This window comes from Homo sapiens, chromosome 11, assembly GCF_000001405.40.
Source record: "Homo sapiens chromosome 11, GRCh38.p14 Primary Assembly".
Lineage (NCBI taxonomy): Eukaryota > Metazoa > Chordata > Mammalia > Primates > Hominidae > Homo > Homo sapiens.
The window spans coordinates 119,550,160-119,573,131 of NC_000011.10; the positions used below are offsets into that span (position 1 = coordinate 119,550,160).

General features: G+C 43.0%; 3 annotated features.

The window, feature by feature from the left end:
- Nucleotides 9,786–10,286: an enhancer, noted in NCBI's record as "H3K4me1 hESC enhancer chr11:119430656-119431156 (GRCh37/hg19 assembly coordinates)". NCBI's record gives its function as "activates a minimal SCP1, AML or CMV promoter by ChIP-STARR-seq in naive H9 embryonic stem cells {active_cell/tissue: H9 hESC(naive)}" and the evidence as "EXISTENCE:reporter gene assay evidence [ECO:0000049][PMID:30033119]".
- Nucleotides 10,287–10,787: an enhancer, noted in NCBI's record as "H3K4me1 hESC enhancer chr11:119431157-119431657 (GRCh37/hg19 assembly coordinates)". NCBI's record gives its function as "activates a minimal SCP1, AML or CMV promoter by ChIP-STARR-seq in naive H9 embryonic stem cells {active_cell/tissue: H9 hESC(naive)}" and the evidence as "EXISTENCE:reporter gene assay evidence [ECO:0000049][PMID:30033119]".
- Nucleotides 17,860–18,009: an enhancer, noted in NCBI's record as "active region_5631". NCBI's record gives its function as "activates an Ori minimal core promoter by ATAC-STARR-seq in GM12878 lymphoblastoid cells {active_cell/tissue: GM12878}" and the evidence as "EXISTENCE:reporter gene assay evidence [ECO:0000049][PMID:35858748]".

The window sequence follows — 22,972 nt, forward strand, 5'->3', positions numbered from 1 at the left end:
CAGAATTGTTACCTTGAGGGTGAGAGGGTTGGCAGTGTAAACTGGCTGAGAGCATGAGAAAGCCTACTATATTGCTGGAAATACTCAGAATCTTGGTCTGAGTGATATTTAAATGTGTATACATATGTAGAAATTCATCAAGTTGTACATCTAAGATTTGTGTAATTTCCTGAAGTAGTTTATGCTACAATGAAAAAAATAGACTGAATGGAAAGGATTTATTTCAGTAATGTGAAAGTAGTTCAGTATTAGAAAGTATAGTATATCAATGTAATCCATCACTTTAAAGCAGAAGTTAGACAAGTTTTTCTTGTTGAAGGCCAGATAATAAATCATTTAGGCTTTGTGGGCTAGCTGGTGTCTGTCTCCTTATGCAACTCTTCCACTGTAGTGTGAAAGCAGCCATAAACAATATGTAAATGATGGGTGTGGCTCTGTTCCAGTTAAGCATTGTGAAAAACAGGCAGCAACCCAATTTGGTCTACAGCCTACATTTTGTCAACCCTGATTTAAAGGAATAAAAGAGAAAAATTATAGGGTCTCCTGAGCGGATGCAAAAAACTTCTGATAAAGTTCAACACTAAAAGTTGAGCTTTTAAAAAACTCTAAGGAAACTAGGAGCTTTCTTAACTTCATAAAAATTAGCTAACAAAACCCTGCAGCAAACATCATGCTTAAAGAAGACACTTTTTATGTATTCTTATTAAGGTCGGGAACAAGAAAGTAACATCCACTGTCACTGCTATGCTGTTCAACAGAATAATGAAGGTCATGACCCATGCAATATGTCAAGAAAAAGAAATGAAAAATATAATATTGGTGCCAGGTGTGGTAGCTCATGCCTGTAATACCAGCATTTTGGGAGGCTGAGGTGGGCAAATTGCTTGAGCCCAGGAGTTGGAGACCAGCCTGGGCAATATGGCAAAGCCCCATCTCTGCAAAAAATACAAAAATTAGCTGGGCATGGTAGTATGTGCCTGTAGTCTGTAATCCCAGCTACTCGGGAGGCTGAGGTGGGAAGATCGCTTGAGCTCGGAAGGTGGAGGTTGCAGTGAGCCGAGGTGGTGCCACTGTACTCCAGCCTGGGTGGCAGAGCAAGACCCTGTATTAATATATATATATTATATTAGAAATAAAGATAAAATAGTCACTATTTGCAGATGATACAATAATTTAATGAGAAAACCCAAACAAGTCAACAGATGAACTTTTAGGACTATTCAGAGAGTTTAGTAAGGTTGCCGGATTCTAAATCAAAATAGAAATTTGAATACAGAAAACATTAATATCATTGATAATATCCATGGACAAATCCAGGTGTCTTTTTTTTTTCTTTTAATAGAGACAGGATCTCACTATGTTGTCCAGGGTGGCCTCAAACTCTTCACCTCAAAAGATCTGCCTGCCTCAGCCTCCCAAAGTGCTGGAATTATGGGTGTGACCCACCAGGCCTGGCTCAAATCCGAGTTTGGAGGAGTGGAAGATTGTGCAATTTGGGGAGCTGTCTTTCAGAAAAATAAAATAAAACTACAGATTCAAATTAGGTATAAAATAAATGTTTATTTAGAGATAGAAATCACAACTAATTATAATTTCTAAAAACTGAAAAATATAATGAGCATGACAACAGAAAAGCAACATTAAAAAAATTAAATGCTATCTTTGCACTTTTATGTTCAGATATCCAGTGAGTCAGGAGAGTGGCTGGAATGAATTCCAGGAATTTCTGAAAGTCACTCTGACACCAAGACATCTAGCCGTGACTTAACGAGACTTGGATGTGATCCTGAGGCACATAAATACATCCCATCAACCCCAAGTTAGTGTATCCCCATCTCAAATTCCTCTTAGCTGGAGCTCCAAAGCACTTGTGATCACTCCAGTGCTGTCCGACGTTTAGGGGAGATGTTATGGAGGGGAACTTGGGATGGAAAGAGACAGCAGCCTTAACCAATTGTAGTTAAAATACTTTACTTTTTAATTAAAAGTAAAATACTTTACTTTTTAAATTGTAGTTAAAATACTTTACTTTTACTTTTACAATGATAGAGGCACTTTTCTAGCCCCTCCCAGGATCCTGGAAAGGAGAATAAACTTGCCTCTGATAATGGCAATGAAGACCACAAAGTTCCTAAGAATTAACATAACAAAGAAGGCCCAAGAGCATAAAGGAAAAAAAAAAGTAAACTTTACTAAAGGCCATTATATAAAAGACCTAAATAAATAGAAGTACTATATCCATGTTTGAGATGATTTAATCTTGGAAAGATGCCTATTAGCCCCAAATGAATTTCTACATTTAATTAAATTCCAGGAGGGTTTTTGGAGAATTAAACAACTTGATTATAAAATTTGTAGAGAAGAATTGAGATCCACAAATAGCAAATCCAATTTTAAAGGAAAAACAAAGAGGCAACATTTGTTCTGCTGATAATCAAACTATGATGACAAGGTCATAATAGTAAAAGCAGTGTGTAATTGGCATAGGGATAAACAGGCTGAAGAAACAGTGTAAGAGACTAGGGACAGATGTAGACATGCATATATAAATTTAGTAAACAAAAACAAGTCTGAATTTAAAAACTACAAGGGAATGCAGCACGGGATAGACACATCACAAATCAGTGAGGGAAGGATGAGTTGCTTAGTACAGAGTGTCAGGAAGAGCGGTTCACAGTTTTGGAAAGAAGTTAAGTTGGGCTCCTACTTGATACAACATTTAAAAAAAATCCAACTGGAGAAAGACCTAAATGCGAAAAGTAAAATTATAAACAATAATATTAATAAAAGAAAATGTATTAAAAATAACTCTGGCCAGGTATGGTGGCTCAGGCCTGTATTCCCAGTGCTTTGGGAGGCTAAGGCAGGTGGATCTCTCGAGCCCATGAGTTCAGGACCAGCCTGGGCAAAATGATGACACCCCATCTCAACCAAAAAAAAAAAAAATTAGCTAGGTGTTGTGGCACACCTGTAGTCCCAGCTACTTGGGAGGCTGAGGTAGAAGGATCGCTTGAACTTGGGAGGTCAAGGCTGCAGTGAGCCAAGACTGCACCACTGTAGTCCAGCCTGGGCAACAGAGCAAGACCCTGTCTCAAAAAATAAATAGATAAATAACTAAAAATAAAAATAACTCTGAACCTCAGAGTTAGTATTTTTTTATTCTTTTTTTCTTTATCAGTCAAGATTCAAGTTAATATTTCTTTGAAAAGATTAAAAATAAAAAAATACACAAACCATTAGACACAAAATAAATGGATTTGATTACATCAACGTTAGAGATTTCTGTTAAAAAAAAAAGACAAATGACAACCAGTATAAACAAAGTTAACAGTGGGATGACAGAGTGAAAGTGGATTTTTAAATGTTTTTTCTAGACAGAGTCTGGCTCTGTCACCCAGGCTGGAGTGCAGTGGTGTGATCTCAGCTCACTGCAACCTCCACCTCCTGGCTTCAAGCGATTCTCGTGCCTCAGCCTCCCAAGTAGCTGGGACTACAGGCACTTGCCACCACACCTGGCTGATTTTTTTTTTTTTTTTGTATTTTTTTAGTAGAGAGGGGGTTTCACCATGTTGGCCAGGCTGGTCTCAAACTCCTGACCTCAAGTGATCCACCCACCTTGGCCTCCCAAAGTGCTGAGATTACAGGCATGAGTCACTGTGCCCCGCTGAAAGTGGATATTTTGAAAAGTCTAAAACTGACAACGGTTTATGCTCCAGCTTCTATAAATAAAAGCAAATCCATAAGAAAAACACATTAATCCAATGGCGGGAAAAAAGGAAGAGGATTTCAATCAGCCATTCACTGAAGTGGACAATTGAATAGCTAATAACTGTAAAAAGAATTGCCCAATCTCTTTAATTCAAATTAAAATAAGAAGGTACCATTTTGGCCAGGCACGGTGGCTCACGCCTATAATCCCAGCACTTTGGGAGGCCGAGGCGGGCAGATCACCTGAGGTCAGGAGTTCGAGACTAGCCTCAACATGGAGAAACCCCGTCTCTACAAAAAAAAAAAAAAAAAGAAAAAAGTACCATTTTAACCCCTTAGATTGGCAAAAATTAGAAAATTGGAATCATATCGAGTACTAGTGAGGAAGTGGGAAAGGGAAAACATTTCAGTCCCTGTTGTTAGGAAATGTGAACCAGGACAAGCAGGTTGCAGAGAAACCTGTATTATTAATAGTTACGCATCGGGAGGCGGAGGCTGCAGTGAGCAGAGATCATGCCACTGCACTCCAGCCTGGGCGATAGAGCGAGACCTGGTCTCAAAAAAAAAAAAAAAAAAAATTATGCGTGAACCTTCCCCATCACTGGTACTTATCCTTGGCGCACAGCTTCAGAGAGTTGCACAGAGGCCCATGAGAGACGTGTACAAAAATGAGACAGTCCTGCTGGTCTGGATCTGTGTCAGCCTGGTGTCTTTCACTAGGGGATGGGTAAATAAAACATGTTTGTGTAGGGTGGAATACCACGCAGCCGTCAGAAGTAATGAACTGGGTCTTCATTGAGCAACTGGGAAGATCTCACAGGCAATCCAGAAGGAAGAAATGTAAGACACAGAATGGAATTGATACCAGGAATCCATTTGTTTAAATTTCAAAAACACAAACAGCACTGTGCTTTTAAAGAGCATTCATATGTCTAAATAACCAAAACCCCAAACATTTGAATGAAAGAATGTTTTGACCCCTCAAGTTTGACACAGGAGACATTTTGATGGTGGCTTATTATCCAGAACTGTTTGCTATAGAGATGCTTGCCTCTCCCTGTGCCCCTAGGGTGGGATTTGGGGATGGGGTGAGGAGTCTGCTTTGCTGTAACTTGGCAGTAAGAGCAAACTATAAGTTTAATGGCTGCTTTAGAGGCCACATCAAGTATCTTCATGTCAAAATGGTTTCATAAAGATGTCACTTGCTCTCCCAGAAATAAGTTAAAAGCCCTGTTATGGTAAGCCCTCTGGGCTATGGAGGGGCGAATCTTATCTTCTCTGTGAGAGTCATTTGCCCTGTGAATCTCTGTGTTACTGTAATGAGTCATTTTAAAGTGGGAATGGCAGCCTTTCCTGGAGGACCATTCTGCGGCCAAAGCTCATGCCCTGGGGTCCCCGGCCTCAAGATCCAGCCTCATTAGCCCGGGAACCTCCCTCTTGGCCTCTCCTTTGTGATTCTGCTGTCTCCCTACTTGCGTGTAAAAGCAAAAATAAAAAAGAAGAAAAGTAAGTAAGACCAAAAATATTTTTTAAGCTAAAGGAAGACTTAATAAAATGGTAGGGATCGGCCGGGCGTGGTGGCTCACGCCTGTAATCCCAGCACTTTGGGAGGCCAAGGCAGGAGAATCACCTGAGGTCAGGAGTTTGAGACCAGCTTGGCCAATACGGTGAAACCCCATCTCTACTAAAAATACAAAAATTAGCCGGGTGTGGTGGTGGGCACCTGTAATCCCAGCTACTCAGGAGGCTGAGGCAGGAGAATCACTTGAATCTGGGAGGTGGAGGTTGGGTCTACAGTTTTGGGCTGGAAGTACAGTTCTCACCTCCCGAGGCACCCTCCTGGGCCCCTGCTGGTTCTGTGCCTGCCTACCATCTGCCTTCCTCCTCCCTGTGCCTGTCCACTCAGCATGGAGCGGGGAGGGGCCACAACGTTTGTGCTTGACTCCCACTTCTGTCACCTGCTAGCTGTGGGACCTGGGAAAATGGCCAAGTCTCAACTTCCTTCTCTCTATAAAGGTGAGAATTGTCACAAGCATTCTTTGGAATCCTAGGGTCCTATGGAAATGGGAGGGCTTTTTATGAATGGAGGCTCAGTTCAAGATGGCCTCCCCCTTGAAGCCCTCCAGGAAGGAAAGAGCCTTCAGGCCTCTTCAATATTCTCCCACCCAAACCCCTCGCCCAGGCTCTGGAGCACTTAGAGTGTACCAGTTTATATTTTAACATAATACTATTAACACCTAAGATATTCCCTGTATGCCTGGAAAAGTGTGGTGGTTATTAGTTAGTGCTTAATAGATATTAATCGATTGATTGAAAGGTCTTCTATTCTCTTTGTTTTCCTGCTTCCCTAACCAGATAGCGAACTCTTGGAAAGACAAACCTCTTCTTCTTCCTCCCTCCCTTCCATTTATCCTATCAATCAACAAATACTTGGGCATCTATTAATATTATGTTACAAACCTTGCCGTAGGTCTCAGAGATACCAGACAGACACAGCCTTGTCCTCATGAAGCCTACATTCTTGGTGGCAGAGAGGGGAGAAGGCAGTTAAACACTTTAAAAAGAAACAAATAGATAAGAACAACTACAAATTTTGAGAAGCACAATGGATACAAAAAAAAAGATTAAGCTGGGAGGCAACTAGGGGAGGGGATCTACTGAAGCGGGGCGGCCAGGCCACTGCTTGGGGAGGGCACTTTAATGGGAGAGCTGGCAATTAGGAAGAGATGGCTGGTGGCTGCTGGCAGAGGTGGGAAAGAGTGGCGTCTGTGGCAGAAAAAACACTCTGTAAGGCTCAGAGGCAGCAAGCAGCCTGTGGTTTTGAGGCAGGAGAACAGGGTCCGGAGGCAGGGAACCTAAGGCCAATTACACTGACTTCCTAAAACTAAGTCAAAAGGAAAACCCCAACACTCCACACCAAAGTAACAAAAGAACAAAAGTAACAAAAGGTTACTCCCTTTGCAACCCTCCATCTTTTTGTGTCCCAGGTGAGAAATGGAAAGTACCTCTGATTGGTCCCCTCCCACAACCAATCAGACTGGTCACAGGCCTAGTCTGCATTTGCATAGGGGTATAACTTTGTAACTTCACTTCAGGCTTTCATTGGTCCCCTCCCACAACCAATTGGATGTTTGCATAGGGGTATAACTTTGTAACTTCAGTTCAGCCTCTGACTGGTCACCTTCCACAACCAATCAGACTGGTTGCAGGCCACTACTTCATTTACATAGGATGTAAATCAAGAAATCAATGGGAAACCTCTAGAGGGTATTTAAACCACAGAAAATTCTGTAACCAGTGCTTTTGAGCCCCCTTCTCGAGCCCACTCCCACTCTGTGGAGTGTACTTTCATTTCAATAAATCTATGTTTTCATTGCTTTATTCTTCCATTGCTTTGTTACAGCATTTTGTCCAATTCTTTGTTCAAAATGCCAAGAACCTGGACAACTCATAGTCAAAACCCTCCACCGGTTACAGTTTCAAAGTAGGGAAAGGAGACAGAGGGCACTGGAGCAAAGCTGAGGGGACAGGACAGAGGGTGGAGAGGTGGGAGGTGAGGTTTGACCGATCATAAGGGCAAGTCCTTGCAAAGGCCAAGAAAAGGGTATGGATTTTCTTTTCAGGGCAACAGGAAGCTGTAGAAGGGTTTCAAGCAGGGGAATAATATAACCATTTTATACTTCTGTAAAGATCTTTAGGGAGACTGAAGAGGATGTTAAATAACATCATGAGAATGCAATCAGTCACTGAGAATGTGGGACATTTCACAGGACAATGACCTATTTAAGGTGGTGGAGGCAGGAGGGAGTGGGGTGAAGAAGTCGGGGCAGTTAAAGACTCAGGAGACATCAACCCAATGCAATGGACAGGCCTCGTTTGGATCTCGACTTGTATTGTTTTGTTTTGTTTTGTTTTTGAGACAGAATCTCGCTCTGTCTCCCAGGCCAGAGTGCAGTGGTGCAATCTTGGCTCACTGCAACCTCTGCCTCCCGGGTTCAAGCAATTCTCCTGCCTCAGCTTCCTGAGTAGCTGGGACTACAGGCACCTGCCACAATGCCAGGCTAATTTTTGTATTTTTAGAAGAGATGGAGTTTCATCATGTTGGCCATGCTGGTCTCCAATTCCTGACCTCAAGTGATCTGCCCACCTCATCCTCCCAAAGTGCTGGGATTACAGGCATGAGCCACCACACCTGGCCTGGATCCCAATTTGAACAAATCAACTGTGAAAAGCTATTTATCAGGCAACTGGAGAAATTTGAACATAGAGTATTACATAATATTAAAAAGACATTGCTCATTTTGTTAGGTGAGTTAATGGTGTAATTAGGTTAAGGGAAAAGAAGTCCTTATGCACAGTGAAATATTTACAGGTGAAATGAAATAATGTCTGAGATTTGCTTAACATCTTCAGGAAAAAAGTGCATGGGGGAGAATAGATGAAATAAGATTAGCAAATGTTGATAATTTTTGAAGCTGGGTGATGGGTACATAAGAGTTCACTATACTAGTTTCTGAAATTTTCCATTAAAAAGTAAAAAAAAAAAAAAAAATAAGTTCTCGGTTTTCTGTGGTGGGGTATGTGGTGTCCACCATGTGCAGCACCCTGGCACCAGTCCGAGAGGGTGGGACTCTAAGGATGGAGTGAGGACTGTGGTCTGGAAGATGACATGTGTGGGGACACTTTGTGAACTGATGGGGGAGGAAGTGATAGGGGGCCATCTACGGACACTGTTCACTGCCCCCAGGCATGAGCCCAGCCTGCCCCCAGTCAGAGGCAATGGAGAAGATTGACTGTGAGTAGTGGGGTCAGACAGACCCAGGGCAACCCCCAAGTTGGCCAGTTGCTTTCTGCTACCTTGGGTGGATCCTCTGTTTCTTAGCTGTGAAATGGGAGTACTTGCAGTAGCTTTCTCATTGGGTTGTGTATTAGTCTGTTCTCATGCTGCTAATAATGACATACCCAAGACTGGGTGATTTATTAAGAAAAGAGGTTTAATGGACTCACGGTTCCACATGGCCTGGGGAGGCCTCACGATCATGGTGGAAGGCAAAGAAGAAGCAAAGGCACGTCTTACATGGTGTCAGGCAACAGAGCTTGTGCAGAGGAACTCCCATTTATAAAACCATCAGGTCTCATAAAACTTATCCACTATCACGAGAACAGTATGGGGGAAACTACCCCCATGATTCAGTTATCTCCAGCTGGCCCCACCCTTGACAGGTGGGGATTATTACAATTCAGGGTGATATTTGGGTGGGGACACAGAGCCAAACTATATCAGCTTGTTACAAGCATTAAATAGAATGGTGCATGTAAAGCCCAGAGCTCAATGCCAGGTGAGGGTCACTGCTCCCTTCCTGGTAGCCATCAGAGGCATGACACAGGCTGCACTGAGGCACAGCAGGACTGGGTTCTGGACCCTCTTGGGACTGGTCTCCAGTATCTAGAAAGCTGAGAGCTGATACATATGTTGAAGTACGTGCATCATCATGCGTGTGCACGCACCTGTGGCTACATTCACACACACACACACACACACACACACACACACACACACACACACACACAGACATCCCTCCAAGGTGGGGATGGGGCTCCTCATGGCAGACCTGAGCAGGCCTAGAGCTTGGCCTTCAGGAAAGGCTGTGGATGGTCCTCCCTAGAGGACCCAGCATGGAGGTGACGGAGGGTGATGCTCAGAGGAGACTCAGCCAGGGGCCCAAGGATAAGCCTGGGCACCTGGTGAGCCCAAATGGGAGAACACAGCTAGACACAAGGGCAGCACCAAGGGGTAAGCCAGGGTCTGAGGAGGTGCTGTCCTGACCAGAAAGGGACAGGCTGGGGCATGGGGAGGGCCTGGCTGGAAAGTCTTTAAATATGAGGGAGAGCATCACCAAAACTGCAAGCCCCATGAGAGTGGCTGAGTTTCCTGGGGCCTGCTTAGAGCCCTCAAGTTGCTAACCTTGAGTTGCCAAGAGCTGGACAACCTCACAGGCCCCTTGCTGCTCCTGCAGCCCCCACATGTCTCCACAGGGTTCTTTCTTTGTGGTCAGGCCAGAGAAATGTAAGCCAGCCAGGCCTCCTGAGACCCTTCCTCTCTGAAGAAGCTTCTGGAACTCAGGTGTGAGGGAGGCGAGGGTGTACAGACAGAAGTTTGGGGTATCATGCTTGGGCACCCATGGCTCCCAGGAAGGGATGCCAAGGAAGCAGGGCAGAGAGAACAAGCATCCCCTTCCTGAGGCCTCCCTTCCTAGACCTCAGGCACAGGAAAAGAGCCCACTAATTCAATCCTGTCTCTACCAGTGGGAAGGAGCTTTTAATCAAATCCTAAGTTGAGTGGTGGGGGAGAGGAGATCCATTCTGCCTTCACTTGCTCTATTCCAGAGAACAATTTGGGGAGTCGCTAATCCTGCAAACATCACGTTAACACCAATAAAACACCCCTACAGCTCCCACTTGCTAAATGTCAACATTTATTAACTTCAGAACCCAGCACCATTTCAGAGCGGCCTCCCTGCAACACAGGCCTGGTGAGAGGAGCAGCTGGAGTGGGCCCTCGAGGAGGGAGACCTGTGGCCGTCACCACTGCACCTGCCCTGGGTCTTGCCCTGAGCCCTGGGGCAGGCCAGGACGGGGCTCAGAGCTAGCAAAGGCTGAGGCATATCCCCCTGGCAGAAACTTGGGGACACCCATGTTGGGGACGGGACTTCCCTTGCTTCCCCTAATTCAGAGGACCTTGGGGAAGTTCCTCTCCCTATCCCTCATCCTAGGAAAGAACAGCTCCTCTTCTAGCCTGGCCCCTGCCCTCCCCTAATTTCCCACTCCCTCTCCTGGAAAAGAAATCAAGATATTTTTCTTAGACATATTTCGAGTTGGGTGTCAGAGGGCCAGCAAACAGAAGTGGATCTGCAAAGCTGTCTTTTGGGGAGAGATTTGCATCTGCAGAGAATCTGCATTGATGCAGCCCAGCCTTCCCTCGTCCTCAAGGCAGTAGATAAGCTTCTGCACCCCATCGTGGGGCTGGGTCTTCATTCTGAAGGCTCTTGTGTCACATAAAACTATGATCAAATAACATTGTATGTCTTTTCTCCAATTAATCTGCCTTTTGTGAGCTGATCTTTTAGTGAACCTTCCAAAGGTGAAGGGAAAGCTTTTCTTTCCCACTACACCTGGGAAGAAGTCCTGGTGACATTTGAAGGAGAGTGTCCTGCTGGCACTTGGGCCAAATATGGCTGGGACCTGTGGCCCTTTGACACAAACCGGAAGACCAGACGCAGAAGGCTAGTGGGTCTGCGGGGCTGGGGCTCAGGGCCTGGAGGGCAGGTGAGCTCTTCCTCTGTGCAGTCCCCAGCCAGCCCCACCTACCTCAGGACACTCAAGAGCCTTTGCAGCTGAGGAGATGTCCGGGAGGCCCAGCAGGTTCCAACAGCTGAGCTCTTGAATCTGGGAAATCACCTTCAAATTTTCCTTCTTGGGAACCCTTCCCCCACATGGGGGTGAATATGAATACCCCAAAGGTGATCATTGCAGTGGGGGAGTCTGAGGGCACAGTCCAAAACAACTACAGCTTTTCTTTGAAGCTCATTCTTTCTCTCTCTCTTTCCCTCTCTTCCTTCCTTTCTTCCTTCTTTCCTTCCTAACTTCCTTCCTTCCTTCCATCCTCCCTCCCTCCCTCCCTTCCTCCCTTCCTCTTTTTCCTTCCCCTCCCCTCCCCTCCCTTTTCTTTCCTTCTTTCTTTCTTTCTTTCTCTTTCTTTCTTTCTTTCTTTCTTTCTTTCTTTCTTTCTTTCTTTCTTTCTTTCTTTCTTTCTTTCTCTTTCTTCTTTCTCATTTCAACAGAGTCAGTGGATCACTGTAGCTTCAAACTCCTGGGCTCAAGGCATCCTCCCACATCAGGCTTCTGAGTAGCTGGAATTACAGGCACACACCATCATGCCCAGTTAATTTTTTGTACTTTTTGTAGAGGCAGGGTTTTGCCATGTTGCCCAGGCTGGTCTTGAACTCCTGAGCTCAAGTGATCTGCCCACCTCGACCTCCCAAGGTGCTGGGATTACAGGTGTGAGCCACCATGCCCAGCCTCAACATTCTTAAAAAACAGAAAGTCCAACTCAAAACTTCATATCTGGCCAAACTAACCTAATAAGGAAAGGAGAAATAAGATTCTTTTCAGACAAACAAATGCTGAGAGAATTCATTACCACCAGACCTGCTTTACAGGAGCTCCTCAAGGAATCACTAAATACGGAAAGACCGTTACTAGCTTCTACAAAAACACATTTAAGTACACAGACCAGTGACACTATAATGTGACCACGCAAACAAGTCTACATAATAACCAGCTAACATCATGATGACAGGATCTAATCCACACATATCAATACTAACCTTGAATGTAAACAGACTAAATGCCCCAATTAAAAGGCACAGAGTGGCAAATTGGATAAAGAACCAAGACTGATTAGTATGCTGTCTTCAAGAGACCCATCTCACATTTGATGACAGCAATAGGCTCAAAATAAAGGGATGGAGAAAAGTCTACCAAGCAAATGAAAAACAGGAAAAAACAGGGGTTGCAATCCTAATTTTAGACAAAACAGACTTTAAGCCAACAAAGATAAAAAAATACAAAGAAAGGCATTACATAATTGTAAAGGGTTCAATTCAATAAGAAGACCTAACTATCCTAAATATATGTGCACCCAACACAGGAGCACCCAGATTCATAAAGCATGTTCTTAGAGACCTTCAAAGAGACTTAGACTTTCACACAATAATAGTGGAAGACTTCAACACCCCACTGACAGTATTAGACAAATCATCAAGGCAGAAAATTAACAAAGATATTCAGAACCTGAACTCAGCACTGGATCAAATAGACCTGAAAGACATCTATAAAACTCTCCAGTCCAAAACAACAGAATATACATTCTTCTCATCACCACATAGCATATATGCTAAAATTAACCACACAATCACACACAATACACTCTTCAGTAAATGCAAAAGAACTGAAATCATAACAACCACTCTCACAGACCACAGTGCAATAAAATTAGAGATCAATTCTAAGAAAATTGTTCAAAACCATACAATAATATGACAATTGAATAATATGCTCCTGAATGACTTTTGGGTAAATAACGAAATGAAGGCAGAAATTGAGAAATTATTTGAAGCTAATAAGAACAAAGATAAAACATACTAGAATCTCTGGGACACAGCTAAGGCAGTGTTAAGAGGGAAATTTATAGCATTAAATGCCCACACCAAAAAGTTAGAAAGATCTCAATTTAACAATCTAACATCACAACTAAAAGAACTAGAGAACCAAGGGAAAACCAACACCAAAGCTAGCAGAAGACAAGAAATAACCCAAATCAGAGCTGAACTGAAGGAGATTGAGACACGAAAAACCATCCAAAAGATTAATAAACCTAGGAGTTGGTTATTTAAAAAAAGTAATAAAACTAGATAGACCACTAGCTGGACCAATAAAGAAGAAAAGAGAGAAGGTCTAAATAAACACAATTAGAAATAACAAATGGGATATTACCACTGACCCCACAGAAAATGAAATGATTATCAGAGAATAACATGAACACCTCTATGCATACAAACTAGAAAATCTAGAAGAAATGGATAAATTCCTGGACACATAAACACCCTCCCAAGACTGAACCAGGAAGAAATTGAACCCCTGAGCAGGCAATTAATGAGCTCCAAAACTGAATCAGTAATAAATAGCCTACCAACCAAAAATAAAAAAGCCTAGGACCAGACAGATTCACAGTTGAATTCTACCAGATGTATAAAGAAGAGCTGGCACCATTCTACTGAAACTATTCCAAAAAATTGAGGAGGAGGAACTCCTCCTTGACTCATTCTATGAAGCTAGCATCATCCCGATACCAAAACCTGGTAGAGACACAACAATAAAAGAAAACTTCAGGCCAATATACTTGATGAACATTGATGCAAAAATCCTCAACAAAATACTGGCAAAACAAATCCAGCAGCACATCAAAAAGTTTATCCACCATGATCAAGTAAGCTTTGTTCCTGGGATGCAAGGTTGGTTCAACATACACAAATTAATAACTGTGATTCATCACATAAATTGAACTAAAGAAGAAACCATGTGATTATCTTAATTGATGCAGAAAAGACTTCAGATAAAATTCAACACCACTTCATGTTAAAAACTCTCAATAAACTAAGTATTGGAGGAACAATACCTGAAAATAAGAGCCATCTATGACAAACCCACAGCTAACATCATACTGAATGGGCAAATGCTGGAACCACTCCCCTTGAAAAATGGCACAAAACAATGATGCCCTCTCTTATCACTCCTACTAAACATAGTATTGGAAGCCCTGGCCAGAACAATCAGGCAAGAGAAATAAATAAAGGGCACCCAAATAGGAAGAGAGAAAGTCAAATTATCCTTGTTTGCAGATGACATTACCCTATATCTAGAAAATCCCATAGTCTTGACCCAAAAGCTCCTTACATTGATAAACAATTTCAGCAAAGTCTCAGGATACAACATCAATGTACAAAAATCACTAACATTCCTATACACCAAAAACAGTCAAGATGAGAGCCAATCAGGTACATGATCCCATTCACAATTGCCACAAAAAGAATAAAATACCTAGGAATACAGCTAACCAGGGAGGTGAAAGATCTCTACAAGGAGAACTACAAACCACTGCTCAAAGAAATCAGAGATGACACAAACAAATGGAAAAACACTCCATGCTCATGGAGAGGAAGAATCAATATTGTTAAAATGGACATACTGCCCAAAGCAATTTATAGGTTAAATGCTATTCCTATCAAACTACCAATAACATTCTTCACAGAACTAGAAAAAAACTATTTTAAAATTCATATGGAACCAAAAAAGAGGCCGAATAGCCAAGAGAATCCTAAGCAAAAGGAACAAAGCTGGCATCACACTACCTGACTTCAAACTATACTACAGGGCTACAGTAACCAAAACAGCATGGTACTGGGATAAAAACAGACACATAAACCAATGGAACAGAATAGAAAGCCCAGAAATAAGGCTGTGCACCTGCAACCATCTAATCTTCAGCCAAGCCAACAGCAACAAGAAATGGGGAAAGGATTCCCTATTTAATAAATGGTGCTGGAATAACTGGCTAGCCATATGCAGAAGATTGAAACTGGACCCATTCCTTACATCATATACAGAAATCAAGTCAAGATGGATTAAAGATTTAAATGTTATAGTTTTGGGTTTTACATTTAAGTGTAAATCTAGGCAATATCATTCTCTATATAGGAATGGGCAAAAATTTCATGATGAAGTTTCCAAAAGCAATTGCATCAAAAGCAAAAGTTGACAAATAGGATCTAACTAAACTAAAGAGCTTCTGCACAGCAAAATAAATTATCAACAGAGTAAACAAACAACCTACAGAATGGGATAAAATATTTGCAAACTATGCATTTGACAAAGGTCTAATATCCAGCATCTATAAGGAACTTAAATTTACAAGAAGAAAAAAACAACCCCATTAAAAAGTGGCAAATGACATGAACAGACAAGACATACATGCGGCCAACAAGCACATGAAAAAAAGCTAGACATCACTGATCATTAGAGAAATGTAAACAAATCACAATGAGATACCATCTAACACCAGTCAGAATGGCTGCTATTACAAAGTAAAAAAGAAACAAAAACAAACAAAACAGCTATGGACAAGTTTGCAAAGAAAAAGGAACACTTATACACTGTTAGTGGGAGTGTAAATTAGTTCAGCCATTGTGGAAAACAGTGTGGGGATTCCTCAAAGAAATACCATTCAACCCAGCAATCCCATTACTGGGTATATATGCAAAGGAATATTTATTGTTCTTTCATAAAAACACATGAACATATATATTCATTACAGCACTATTCACAATAGCAAAGAGATGGAATCAACCTAAATGTCCATCAGTGGTAGACTGGATAAAGAAAATGTGGTACATATACACCATGGAATACTATGCAGCCATAAAAAAGAATGAGATCATGTCCTTTGCAGGAACATGGATGGAGCTGGAGGCCATTATCCTTAGCAAACTAATGCAGGAAAAGAAAACTAAACATCACATCCTTTCACTTATAAGTGAGAGCTAAGTGATGAGAACACAGGGACAGAAAGAGCATAACAAGAGACACTAGGGCTCATTGGAGGGTGGAGGATGGGAGAAAAGAGAGGATCAGGAAAAATAACTAATGGGTCCTAAGCTGAATACCAGGGTGATGAAATAATTTGTGCAACAAACCCTTTTAACACAAGTTGACCTATATAACAAACCTGCACATGTACCTGTGAACTTAAAATAAAAGTTAAAAAAAGAAGTATATTTTGGGGTGAAATATTTTGGTTTCCCTTAACCTCATCTCAAACCTATTTCCAAACAGAATCACATTCACAAGTACCAGGGGTTAGGATTTGGGCATAGCTTTTTAGGGGCACTATTCAATCCAATACAGGAGCCAATTTTAGCAACACTGGGTGGTGTCAGGATACAAAGTGAAGCAAGGCCCACATGCCGGAGTCAGACAGGCTAGGGCTGGAGCTCTTGCTCTGTCATCAACCCTTATCACCTGGCTGGGTGACTGTGCAGGTCATTAATGCTCTCATTGTTACAATATTTAACATGGGTATAATAATTACCATGATATGTTATCTCATGGAATTGTGGTGAAGGTTAAATGGCTGAATGGTTTGAATGTGTTCCCCAAAACGCAGGTGTTATAACTTAATCTCCAGTGTAACAGTGTTGAGAGGTGGGGCCAATGAGAGGTGTTTGGGTCATGAGGGCACCACCCTCATGAAAGGGTTAATGATTATTATAAAAGGGCTTGAGGCTGCAAGTTTGGTCTCTTGCTCTCTCTTTGCTCTTACACGATGGGAAGATGCAGCAAGAAGGCTCTTGGTAGATGCCAGCCCCTTCATCTTGGACTTTTCAGCCTCTAGAACCATGAGCCAATAAATTTCTGCTCATTATAAAGTACCCAGTCTCAGGTGTTCTGGTACAGCAGCACAAAATGGACTAAGACAATGACCTAAGGCAATGAAAGATGTTGGAAAAACATGAAGTGCTATCTATGTACAGGGTATTAGCAAGCATCTCAACTTACTAATTGTGTGAGCTCAGGCAAGTTTCCTAACCTCTTGGAAGCTGTTTCCTCATCAGTAAAATGGAAAGTACTCACCTCATTGGGCCACTCAAAGGACTCAATGAAACTCCATGTGAGGCACTTAACACATAGAAAGTGCTCTTAAAGTAAAAGCCATGAGCATTGTGGTGGGGCCTTTCCAGAGGGATGGACTAGCCTAAATGTCCAGAAAAGAAGTGAACCAGACTCTTGATTTTTGAGATTTTGTGTGTGTGTGTGTGTGTGTGTGTGTGTGTGTGTGTGTGTGTGTGTGTTTGAGACAGAGTCTCACTCTATCGCCCGGGCTGGAGTTCAATGCACAATCTTGGCTCACTGCAACCTCCACCTCCTGGGTTCAAGTGATCCTCTTGCCTCAGCCTCCTGAGTAGCTGGGACTACAGGCGTGTGCCACCACGCCCGGCTAATTTTTGTATTTTTCGTATAGAGATGAGGTTTCACCATATTGGCCAGGCTGGTCTTGAACTCCTGACCTCAGGTGATCCACTCGCCTCAGGCTTCCAAAGTGTTGGGATTATAGGTGTGAGCCACCGCACTCGGCATTTTTGAGAATTTAGGAGATTAAGCACCTGTTCCCCACCCCTTGGGGTTTTGAAAATTAGGTGGGAAGAAGCTGATTCTAGGTTTTGCAAGTAAAGGGGGACCTAGTACTGCTGGGGCCAGCTTGCACCCAGGAAGTGGCTGGTAGCTGAGCAGAATGAGCCACTGATGACAGCTTTGGCTCTTTGGCCTTAGGCCTAGTGGGTCCCCAGGGTTCTGCTGATCTGAGCATTTTGCTGGGGAATTTCCCTTTTCTGAAAGGGCTCCACAATAAGGTGGTGGCATCAGCTGGGGCCTAGGCCAGGCACCTTCTGTCTATGGACTCTGGCCTGAGTTTCAGGGACATCTTGACTCACAAGGGGAGCTTTTCCCTCCCACCAATCATGGCATTGGGGGTGGGGGGTGGGCAGCCACCCTGGATAACGTCACTCAGTGCATACCACTGCTGGCCCCTGTGGCTGTTGCATGAAGAGGAGACGGGGCTCCATTTTCCAGAAATCGTCTGTGCTAGGCATCCCAGTGAGGGGGCTGAGCCAACCTCTAAGTTTCCTCTAAGACACTAGGAAGCATTGGGGGAACCCTGGATGCACCCAAGCAGGGACTGGATGGGGGAGGCTTGAGCATTCGCTCTTTTCTCCCACATGGGTTGGAGGCCACTCTGCCTCATTATCGTCCTCTACATTTGCATGACTGCTGTCCTGTGAAAAATCTCCGCTTGTGAGCCAGCACAAGTATGACTCAGCATGTCTCTTTAATTCCCTTCGGGCACGACCATCAGAGTCAGTTTACAATAACCAGACGCCTGGCTTTACAATCACTCCTCATTGTTGACCCAAAACAGCATCCTGCAGCTTGATCATTGCCCATGTGCCAGACTTCTCTCAGAATGACTCTTATTTAAAAAAAAAAAAAAATCACATCTGGTCCATTTAGTGGCCTAGAGCACATACCCTTGAGAATTCATCAAGGCAGAAAGTATTTGTTATTCGAGGATGGGTTTGATTTTTGGCAATGATGTTGAGGCTCTCTGAGTCAAGTCTGGAGGATTATGCAGCAGGGAGAGCTCTTTGCTTAGACCACTGCATCAGACCACCCTCCTCAATCTCAGGGCTCAGCTACCACTTCCCTTCTATAGCTCCCCCAGTCGCCATGGCAGATGTGGCCAGACACCTCACTCTCTTGCCATCCGCCCAGGGTTTCTCTGACACCAAGGCCATGCCCGCCTCTTCCTTGTCTCAGGTGCATTTTGCATGGTTCTTCAGAGGTTCCCTAGCAGGATGGAGCCTCAGTGACCCACAGTGATGACCAGCTCAGTTAAGAAAACTTAGCTTGGCCTTTCTGCTTCCCTGTTTTATGCTTCCCAATCCCCCTTGGGATTCTAGGGAACCATTGCTTTTCCCTAGAATCTCTTTCCAAAATAAGCTACTTGAACCAAAGGCTCTTTATGTGGGGGAACCCAGGCAAGGACAGCTGCCCTGCTGAATTTTTTGTAAGATTTCAACAGAGCTTGAGGACGGAGTTGGGGGGAGTCTATTGAGATACTAGGTCATAGGAATTCATAGTGTCCCGTGGCATCATATATATGGGCCATCTCTTTTGCTCTCTCTCCCCCTTTTTTAAAAAACAGTTTTTTTTAGATATAACTCACCTACCATATAATTCCCATTTAAAGTGTGCAATTTGGCCAGGCATATGGCTCATGCCTGTAATCCCAGCACTTTGGGAGGTGGAAGTGGGAGGATTGCTTGAGTCCAGAAGTTCAAGATCAGCCTGGGGAATACAGTGAAACCCCATCTCTATATATAAAAAAAAATAAAGTGTGCAATTCAGTGGTTTTTAGTATATTTACAGAGTTGTGCACCCATCACTGCATCAATTTTAGAACATATTTATCACCCCTAAAAGAAACACAGTACTCATTAACAATCACTCTCCATTTCTCCCACAACCTCATCCCTCTAGGCAACCACTGGTCTACTTTTTGTTTGCCTATTGTGGACATTTCACTTAAATGGAATATGTATAATATGTGGCTTTTTGTGTCTAGCTTGTTTACTCAGCCTAATGTTTTCGTTACGAAGGAATGAAGGAACCTCAGCATAAGGTTAATCCGTATTGTGGCATGTATCAGTACTTCATTCCCTTTTTTTTGTGTGTGTGTGAGACAGGGTCTTGCTCTGTTGCCCAGGCTGGAGTGCAATGGCACGATCATGGCTCACTATAGCCTCGAACTCCTAGGCTAAAGTGATCCTCCTGCCTTGGCCTTCTAAGTAGTTGGGACCACAGGCACTGTGCCACCATGCTGGCTATTAAAAAAAAAATATATATATATATGTATATAAATTTTTTTTTTTTTAGGTAAAGGCAAGGTCTGGCTATGTGGCCCAGGTTGGTCTCAAACTCCTGGACTCAAGCAGTCCTCCTGCCTTGCCCTCCCAAAGTGCAGGATAACAGGCATGACTTCATTCATTTTTATGGCTGAATAATAATCCATTGTATGGATATACCACATTTTATTTATCCATCAATCAGCTGATGGACATCCCAGTTTTGTCCGCCTTTTGGTTATTAAGAGTAATGCTGCTATAAATATTTGTGTACAAATTTCTTTCTGTGCAGATGTATGTTTTGGTTTCTCTTTTTTATATGCCTAGGAGTGGAACTGCTGGTTCATTTTGCTCCTCTTTTAATTTTTAATTTTACTGTTAGGTTAGACAATACATTCCCATGCTATCTCACAATTTAAAAGGTACAAATGGAGAATTTCTATTCTCTCCTTAATCACAAGCAATATTTCCCACTTTAAGTGTATTTTTGGAGATATCTCTAGCATATATAAACAATTATGAATATTTCTTCTTCCTTTTTCTATCACAAACAGTGATACAATATACACTGTTCAGTACCTTACTTTATTTGTTTAACATTAAATCTTAGAGATTGCTCCATATCATTACAAAAGAAGCTTTTCATTTTTGTATCTATGTAGCATTCCCTTGAATGGAAAGAAATAGCTTATTTAATTTAAATGATTTATTTAACCAGTCCCTAATTAAAAGGCCTTGTTTCCAATCTTTTGTTATTATAAACAATAATGCAATGAAAAACCTTAAACAAATATTATTTCCCACATGTGTGAGCTCATCATAGGATGTATTTCTAGAAGTAGAAGAACAGTATCAAAAGGTACGTGAACTTGGTGGGGGGTGGTGGCTCATGCCTGTAATCCCAGCACTTTGGGAGGCCAAAGTGGGAGGATCGTTTGAGCCTAGGAGTTCAAGACCAGCCTAGTCAACATGGTGAGATCCCATCTCTATTAAAAAAAGAGAAAGAAAGAAAGGTATGTGAACTTTAAATCTTGACACATATGCCAATTGCCTTCCATAGAGGTTATACAAATTTACAGCCCATCAGCAATGTGTGACCTGTTTGCACATGCCCTCACCACTTCGATGGGTAGAAAATGATATCTCCACGTCATTTTAATGTGAAATTATGAGTGAGTTACAGCGTCTTTTATTTCCTTTTTGTAAAATGCCTGCTCATATCTTCTGCCTGCTTTTTCAATCGATATGATCATTTTCTTGATGATTTGGGAGTATTCTTATTTATCAGAGAAATTAACCCTTTGTTTATAATATGAGTATCTAAAACTTCTCCCAAAGGGTCGAGTCTTTTGCTTTTGTGTACTACTGTTCATGAATACCCAGATCCCTCCCTGAAAAGGCATTACATTCCCTGCCCTTGTGAACCAAGGTGCAGCTGTGTGACTTGTTCTGGTCAATTAAATGCAAGCAGAAGCACGTGTGACACTTTGGGCTGAAGCTTGAAGTGCTGGTGCTTTGCTCACCCTCTTTCTCTCTGACTCGGGAATTGGCGTCAGCAGATGATGGCTGTGCCTTCAACTTGGGAGCCTAAAGTGAAAGTGACAATACTGACAACATGGGAGTGGAGGCCTCAGCCAATCCACAAAAGGATGTGTACTGTGGGCCAGAAATAACCACTTGTTGCTTTATACCCCTCAGATTTTGGCTTTTTTTCTTGCTGCAGTATAACCAGCCTATCCAGACTGATTTTTGCCACAAAGACTTTTGAAAAAAAATTTATTTTGATGAGGTTAAAATGATTACTCATTTATTTTATGACTTCGGGGCTTGTGCCGAAAGATCTTCCTCAATCATGCAATGAAAAACCTTAAATATTACTTCCCTGCCAGACATGGTGGCTCACACCTGTAATCCTAGCACTTTGTGGGGGGACGAGGCAGGTGGATCACCTGAAGTCAGGAGTTCGAGACAAGCCTGGCCAACATTGTGAAACCACGTCTCTACTAAAAATACAAAAAAATTAGTCAGGTGTGGTGGTGGATGCCTGTAATCCCAGCTACCCAGGAGGCTGAGGCAGAAGAATTGCTTGAACCTGGGAGGCGGAGGTTGTAGCGAGCTGAGATCGCACCACTGCACTCCAGCCTGGGCAACAAGAATGAAACGAAACTCTGTCTCGAAACAAACAAACAAACAAACAAACAAAAACCTCCAAAACAAATATTATTTCCCACATCTGTATTATTATTTTAAAAATCCTCCCACGGTTTGTTGAAAATGCATTATTTAGCTTCCAATTTGAAATGCCATCAGGTGCCACTCCTCTGACTGTCATTGTTACGTTGTTCAAGAAGTGGAGCTTGGGGCAGCAGCTGTTCTTGCCTGGGCCCACCACCATAACCCCAGTGTTCAAGACTGTCTGGCTGCTGCTGAAAACAACTTGACTGCAGATGTGTATTCCAATCAGGAGCTTCTCCTGTCACACAGAAGCCTAGAGTTGGGCATTTCAGGGCCAGTAGGGCAGCTCCAGGGGCGTTCTTATGTGCTTCGGTTTTAACCTCCTTAACACGTGGCTTTCCCAGACCTCATTGTCCAAGATGTCTGCTGGAGCTCCAGCCATCAAGCCTGAGTTTCAGGCAAGAAGTAGGAGAAGGCAGGTGAGGCCAAAGGGACTATGCCAATTGTTCATCTCCCTTTTAAGGAACTTTCTCGGATGTCTCACCTACAGTCTTCTGTTTATACCTCATTGCCCAGAACTTAGTCATAGGGCCACACCTTGTATCAAAGGGGCAAGACATGTAGAGTTTATGGTGTTGGTGTGATGGAATGCTGGAGGTTGCTGATGAGATAGGGGATAGATAAGTTCTCTGATAGTCTCAGAACTTTGGAGGCAGGGCCTGTTCCTAAAAAACAGAGCTTCCTGGTAGCAAATCTCAGCAGAAGGCACCATAGCCCTCCCCATCCCCTCCTTGCCTTCTGGCCATCTCAGGCCATATCCAGCTTTTGGGGACTCCCCACAAGGGGCTGCACCTGTGAGTGGGAGCTGACAGCTGGGAGGGAGCCCAGCCCCTACTCTGGGAGACAGAAGCCCTCTGGGTCTTTGGCCAATTCACCCTTGGCTGGCGTTGACTAACTGGCTTGAATCTCTGAGCCTTGGGCAACAAGAGTAGCTTCCCAGGGCTGCTGCGCTA